At 36.2% G+C, this 7226-nt stretch overlaps 1 annotated feature.

The window, feature by feature from the left end:
* Nucleotides 6545-6664: a silencer, noted in NCBI's record as "silent region_1127". NCBI's record gives its function as "represses an Ori minimal core promoter by ATAC-STARR-seq in GM12878 lymphoblastoid cells {active_cell/tissue: GM12878}" and the evidence as "EXISTENCE:reporter gene assay evidence [ECO:0000049][PMID:35858748]".

Below are 7226 nucleotides of genomic sequence, written 5' to 3' on the forward strand. Positions count from 1 at the left end.
TAGCTATGGATTAAAGTATCTTTGATAAACAGAAAAGATTCTATACCTAGATGAAGCACACTATCTAGTGACGGCTCAGACAAATAAATTTAAAACTATGGATAGAGTGTGTTAAGTATTGTAATATGAACAAACATAGGGTGTTATGTGAAATAAGTGGGAATTTAACCCAGTCTTGAGGAATGAGTATAGATATCCCACAAGATAAACTGTTTACACTGAGCTCTGCAAAGATAATTATAATTAAATCCAGGAGTATTATATGACTGTGGGCTTGACAGCAGGGTATGTTTATTATGGGAATGAACTTCTGGAAAGAGAGAATGTGTATGTTTAAGGATGCTAAAGTCATAAGAAATAATTTTGTATGTGAGAACCCTACTAACATTTAATAATATGTAATTTTATTTATGGGTAAATTTATAAATTGTCTTAGTCTTCTCTGTGCTGCTATAACAGAATATCTGAGACTGGGTAATTTATAATTAATATAAATTTTTTGGCTCATTTTGGAGAACGGGAAGTCCAAGATCAAGAAGGGCCTTCTTGTTATATCATCCCATGTGAAATGGCAAACAGAGGGCAAGAGACAGCAAGAGATCCAAATTGCAGCCTCAGGCCCATTTACAATAGCCATTAATACATTCATGAGAGTTCCACCCTTATGACCTAAACACTTCCCATCAGGGTCCACCTCCCAACATTGTTGCATTGGGGATTTAGTTTCCAACACATGCTTTTTGGGAGACACATCCAAACTATGGCATTCTGTCTCTGGCCTCAAAATTCATGTAGTTCTCAAATGTAAAATGCATTCATTTCATCTCGAGACACTCAAAGTCTTAACTGTGATGGTTCCAGCACTACCTCAAAAGTCAAAAGTTTGAAGTCTCATCTTAAATCAGATATGGGTGAAACTCAAGGCATGGGTGAAACTCAAGGCTCACATCACAGTGAAGAAAATTCCTCTCCAGCTGTAAGCCTATGAAATTAAACAAGTTAGCTATTTAGAAAATAACTATGGTGGACCAGGTGTAGAATAGACATTTTCATTTCAAAAGGGAAAAAAAGAAAGAGGTAACAGTTTCTCAGTAACTACAAAACCCAACAGGAAAAGCAAAACTAACTCTTAAAGCTCCAGAATAATCTTCCTTGACTCCATGTCTGGCCTTCTGGGCATACTGGAGTTGGGGCTAGGCCCCCAAAGACTCAGGCAGCCCCACCCCTACGCTTTGCTGAAGTCAGCCCATGCAGTAGCTCTGAAAGGTTGAAATATTGTGCCTGCAACGCTGGTAGCTCTACAATTCTGAGGTCTTGGAGGAGGCCTCACTCCCATAGCTTCACTAAGTATAACCCTAGTGAGGAGTCGCTGACATGGCTCTGCCACTGTGATAATTCTCTGTCTGAGACAACCTTGAAAATCTAGTTGGGGAAAGTTATGCCTCCACAGGAACATTCTTCCGTCTTTCAGAATTAGCCCCATGTCAACACTGTTAAGGTTTACTGCTTAAATCTTCTGGAATGGTGGCCCCAGCCATATTGGGCTGGCTTGAGTCATCGCTGTGGTGGCCAAAGAGCACAAAATGCTCAAAGCATTGACTTGAGGTAGCACAGAGCAGCCAATGCTGGGATGCTGTGGGCACCTCTCTGGAAAACTTTCTGTCAAGATCCTAGCTTGCCTTAAACATCTCTGAAATGCTTTTGACGTAATTCTCCCTTTGGTTGGTTGAATAGAACATAGCTTTCATCATATTATCCATATTAATCTCTTTAACAAATGGTCTCTTGGAAACACATTTTGCATTTTCTCCTGAGTATGTATTTTTAATCTTTACTTGACCAGTCTGAGAGTTTTCCCAACATTTTCACTTTGTTTTCTTTTTACTTATAAAGTCTGTCTTTAAGTAATTTCTCTCCTCTTGAATGTTACTAAACATGCCTAAACAAAGCCGCACAGTACCCTGAGCACTTTACTGATTAGAAATTTCTTTCTCCAGAAATCCTAGTTTATTCCTCCTAAAATCTGTCTTTCATAAAGTCCTGGAGCATTTACACAATTCAGCCAAGCCCTCTGCAACAAAAAAGGCCTTTATTATAGGTTCCAGAAATATATTTCTGTTTTCCATCTGAGGTCTCATTTTCTACCAGCATTCTGATTATGACAACTTACGTAATTTATAAGAAGTTTCAGACTTTCCCTAAAGCTCTTCTTCTGAGCTCTCACCAGAATTGCCCTTAATGCTTTGTTTACAACAATTTAGACATTTTTCTAGCCTGCTCCTCCAATTATTCCAGGCACTACCCATTACCCACTTCCAAAGCCACTTCTGCATTTTCAGGTATTTGTTGTAAAAATAGCCCAACTTTTTGGTACCAATTTTCTGTCTTTGTCCATTTTTTGTTGCTATAGCAGAATATCTGAGATTGTATAATTTATAATACACAGAAATTTATTGGCTCATGATTTTGGTGGCTTGTGAGTTCAAGATCAAAAGGCTGGCATCTGGTAAGGGCCTTCTTGATATGTCATTCTATGGCGGAAGGTCAAAAGGAGAGTGAAATAAAGCAAGAGATCAAACTGGAAACCTCAGGTTATTTTATAATTGACATTAATCCATTCATGAGGACTCCACTCTCATGATTTAAATATGTCCCATTAGGTTTCTCCTCCCAACAATATTGCATTAAGAGTTGTTTCCAACACACGTTTTATGGAGGGCACAGTCAAATGACAGCACACACCTAAAAAAAGTATAGTGCCTTACTCAAATTCAGTAATTAAATATGGATGTAAATTAGTATACAGTAAGGGAGGAGAGGCTAAGGAGGTGACTTTTAACCTGAAGCTCATACAGATATAAAAGGCTTTAGGTCGTGTTTCTTCATCTAAAACTTGCTGGTAGCTCTCTTCACTTTTATCCTGTGCTGTGCTACTTTGTATAACTGTAGTTTTTCCTCCCAGATGATAAGCATTCTGAGGGTACAACCTGTATTTACTTCTTTTTTTCTGGCCTTTCTGCCCAGCTCAATGCAGCATAAGGATACATTTGAATAAGTAGGTGATTGCTTATAGGCAACTGCTTAGGGCATGTTTTTAATGAGATATTTCATATTTTAAAATAAAGCTTATTATAAAATACATTTTCAAATAAAGCAGTTCCATTTTAAATTTCTAAATGTTTTGATAATAAATATTAGAAAGCTACTATTCTATGCTTTTTCCTCATTGTTTTTGTCACTTAATCCCAAGTTCTGCCTAATTCAAAAGGATGAAGCATAGATCAACAGCACATCAGTGATAAATACTTCCAATACAATTTGCTTCCACATTAGATATTAGAATCTCTTTTACAGACACTTAATTTGGTACAATCCTCAGGCAAGTCTGGGCTCACAGCAATGACAGAGGTTCCGATTTGTTTTCCTGAGTCATCTACCCTTCCATCTCTGTATATTTTAGGACATAGGGCTTATAGCTGAGAGGAAGTAATCTAAATCTTTTGAAATACTCCTCTTATCTGTCAACATTCAGGGTATACACACAAATGAAAAACCACAAATAATCACATATATCACAAAGTAATGCATAAAATGACAGTTTTGTAAAAATTGGTATTTAAGCAACCTTCAAATGAGGATCATGATGATTTCATTATATCCCTAGATCAGTATACACTCTTGATCTCCATGAGTAGGTGATGCATTTTTTATTTGCCTTATAAACACTTCATTATGTAAAATAAAATTAGAATTCTTGTTAAGTGTAAGCTATATGAATCCTTTAAAAATACATTAATGTATTTTGAAAATTTTTAATAAATAATTGGAATTTTCCAAATTAAAAGCTATTGAAAAACAATTTAAAAGCTTTCGAAAGCAAAAGCAATTCTGGATTGTCTTTAAAAACACAGAAGTGATGTTTTTAAAGTTAGAATATCTTCAAATGCTTTTATTGTATACAACTGACTGCAATTTTAAGTTACCTCAAGTTTTTCCACATTTTACTTAGCTTTTTAAATCACAAATAAAATATAAAAAAGCTGGCAGTAGAATGTTACAGAAAACAAACTTCCAGGAATTGCCCAGGAAATAGTAAAGATTCAGTCTAATTTCTCACAACTCATTATAATAAATATTGATGTTATGGATGCTAACATGAGATTACCAAACTTCAGTCAATAAATATCTATTGCTCTTCAGTGCACTGTACATACTAAAGAGAATATTTTTATTTCCAGCAGTAAGCAACTCCTGAACTTAACTGGCTTAGGGACCTCTTCTATAAACATTGCAGAAACCTGCAAACATGTCTATCATAATACCTACTATACTGCATTTGATTATGTTTTTCTCTATTCATTTCCTTCTTGCCTGAAAGCTCCTTGAAGTGATAATAGAGTTTTATTACTTTTTTTTTAATATATAGTGCCCAGATAGTTTTAATCTATAGTGCCTAGACAATGAGAGCTCAGGAAATGTTTGCTGCTGACATACAGGAATGAATTTTAAAAATCACATTTAGACATATACACTAAGAAAATTTGATTTATAGAATATTCCTGTGCTTCAAAGAAAAAGGCATTTTATTAATCTCTTATTTATCTGGCAATGTAATGTCATACTTTATTTCCCATCTTTGTATTAAGACTTTATCAACATAAAACCCTTAACAAAGATTTTGTTGCAACTGGAAATTTACTTGGTATTTTCTAAAATTTAAGTCAATGTATCACACCTTGAAGTCATACAATATCATAAGAAAATTTTAATGATGGATAATGCTTTTAATTACTATAGTCACTTTCAACATGACATTGATGATATTTTTATTTGCTTGTCTTCTGAATCTAATGTATGACCTAATAGTATGCCTCTGGATAGTTAAAAATATAACAAAGAGAAAATAAATGACTGAAAGTGATAATAATATTTTTAGTTATGTATTATTATTTTAAGGAATGCATTTGATATTTATATATACCTGTTCATTACTGAATAAATAAACTATAATTTATTATTTATTATTACCAAGGTAATACACCTTTGTTATAAAAAATGCTGAGCAATAAGAAGAAGAAAAAGTTTACTTAGAGTCCCCTGAAAAAAAGATACCCAGTGGCAAACATGGTAATTTTTCTTTCCCTCCTTTATCCATGTAAAGTTTTACATGGTTAAAGTCATAACACATGTATTTTAAAATAAAGCAAATATGTTCTGGTAATAATTTGTTTCTTCAGCAAATATTTTTTGGCACCTACTATGTGCTATGTACTCTTCTGGGTACTTGGGATATATCAATGAACAAAATAGAAAATATTATTGCCCATGTGCATCTAAAGCTCTGGGACCTACAAATATAAATAAAAATAAATAAGGAAATTGCATAGTATGTTAGAATATTCTATCAAAAACGAAAGCAGGGAAAGAGAATAGGAGATCAAGGAAGGAGTCTAAGATATAAATATAGTCAGATAAAACATGACTGAGAAGGCTAGTTTTGAAAATGGCTCCGAAGTAAGTAATAGAATGAATCCCAGAGAAATTTAGAGTAGAAGACCAATGACTGTGATGAAACAAAAACAGAAAGTTATTGTGGTTGAAGCAGAGGAAACATGGGAGATTATACTGAAAATAAAATACAGTGAGACTGTATTAATCCATTCTCATGCTGCTAATGAAGACATATCTGAGAACACCTAATTTATAAAGAGGAGGCGGTTTAATAGACTCACAGTTTCACATGGCTGGGAAAGCCTCACAATCACAGGGGAAGGTGAAGGAGGAGCAAAGGCATATTTGACAAGGCAGCAAGGAAGAGAGCATGAGCAAAAGGGAAAAAGTCCCTTATAAAACCATCAGATCTTGTGAGAACTCACTCACTATCATGAGAACAGTATGATGGTAACTGCCTCCATGATGAAATTACTTCCCACTGGATCCCTCCCATGACACATGGAGATCATGGGAACTACAGATAAAGATGAGATTTGGGTGGGGACATAACCAAATTATATCCTTCTACCTCTGGCCCCTCCCAAATCTTATGTCCTCACATATTAAAACAAAATCATGCCCTTCCAACAGTCCCCCAAAGTTTTGCCTCATTTTAGCATTACCTCATAAGTACAAGTCCAAAGTCTCACCTGAGACAAGGCAAGTCCTTTTTGCCAATGAGCCTGTAAAGTTAAAAAAAAAAAAAAAGTTAGTTACTTCCTAGATACAATGGAGGTACAACCATTGGGTAAATACACCCATTAACAATGGGAGAAATTGGCCAAAACAAAGGGTCTACAGGACCCATGCAAATTCAAAATCTAACAAGGCAGTAATTAAATTTTAAAGCTCCAAAACAATCTCCTTTGACTCCCTGTCTCACATCCAGGTCATGTGATACAAGAAGTGGGCTCTCACAGGCTTGAGCAGCTCTGCCCCCTGTGGCTTTGCAAGGCACAGCCCCTCTCCCAGCTGCTTTCACAGGCTAGCATTGAGTGTCTGCGGCTTTCTGAGGCACATGGGGCAAGCTGTTGGTGGATCTACCATTCTGGGATCTGGAGGACGGTGGCCCTCTCATAGCTCCACTAGGTGGCACCCCAGTAGGGACTCTGTGTGAGGGCTCCAACCAAGTCCCCAAACTGCAAAAAGCAGCAAGTCTCTGGGCACAGGCCATGAAACCATATTTTTCCTCCTGGGCCTCCTGGCTTGTGATGGGAGAGACTACCTTGAAGACCTATGAGATGCTCTGGAGACATTTTCCCCATTGTCTTAATAATTAACATTTGGATCCTCATTACTTATGCAAATGTTTGCAGCCAGCTTGAATTTCTCATCAGAAAAAAGACTGTTCTTTTCTATCATATCATCAGGCTGCAAATGTTCTGAACTTTTATGCTTTGCTTCCTTTGTTTTTAAATTATACTTTAAGTTCTGGGACACATGTGCAGAACATGCAGGTTTGTTACATAGGTATACATGTGCCATGGTGGTTTGTTTCACCCATCAACCCATCATCTACGTTAGGTATTTCTTCTAATGCTATCCCTCTACATGCTCCCTGCCCCCGGACAGGCCCCAGTATGTGATGTTCCCATCCCTGTGTCCATATGTTCTTATTGTTCAACTCCCATTTATGACTGAGAACATGTGGTGTTTGTTTTTCTGTTCCTGTGTTAGTTTGCTGAGAATGATGGTTTCCAGCTTCATCCATGTTCCTGAAAAGGACATGAACT

The sequence above is a fragment of the Homo sapiens genome, chromosome 1, assembly GCF_000001405.40.
Source record: "Homo sapiens chromosome 1, GRCh38.p14 Primary Assembly".
In the NCBI taxonomy this organism is placed as follows: domain Eukaryota; kingdom Metazoa; phylum Chordata; class Mammalia; order Primates; family Hominidae; genus Homo; species Homo sapiens.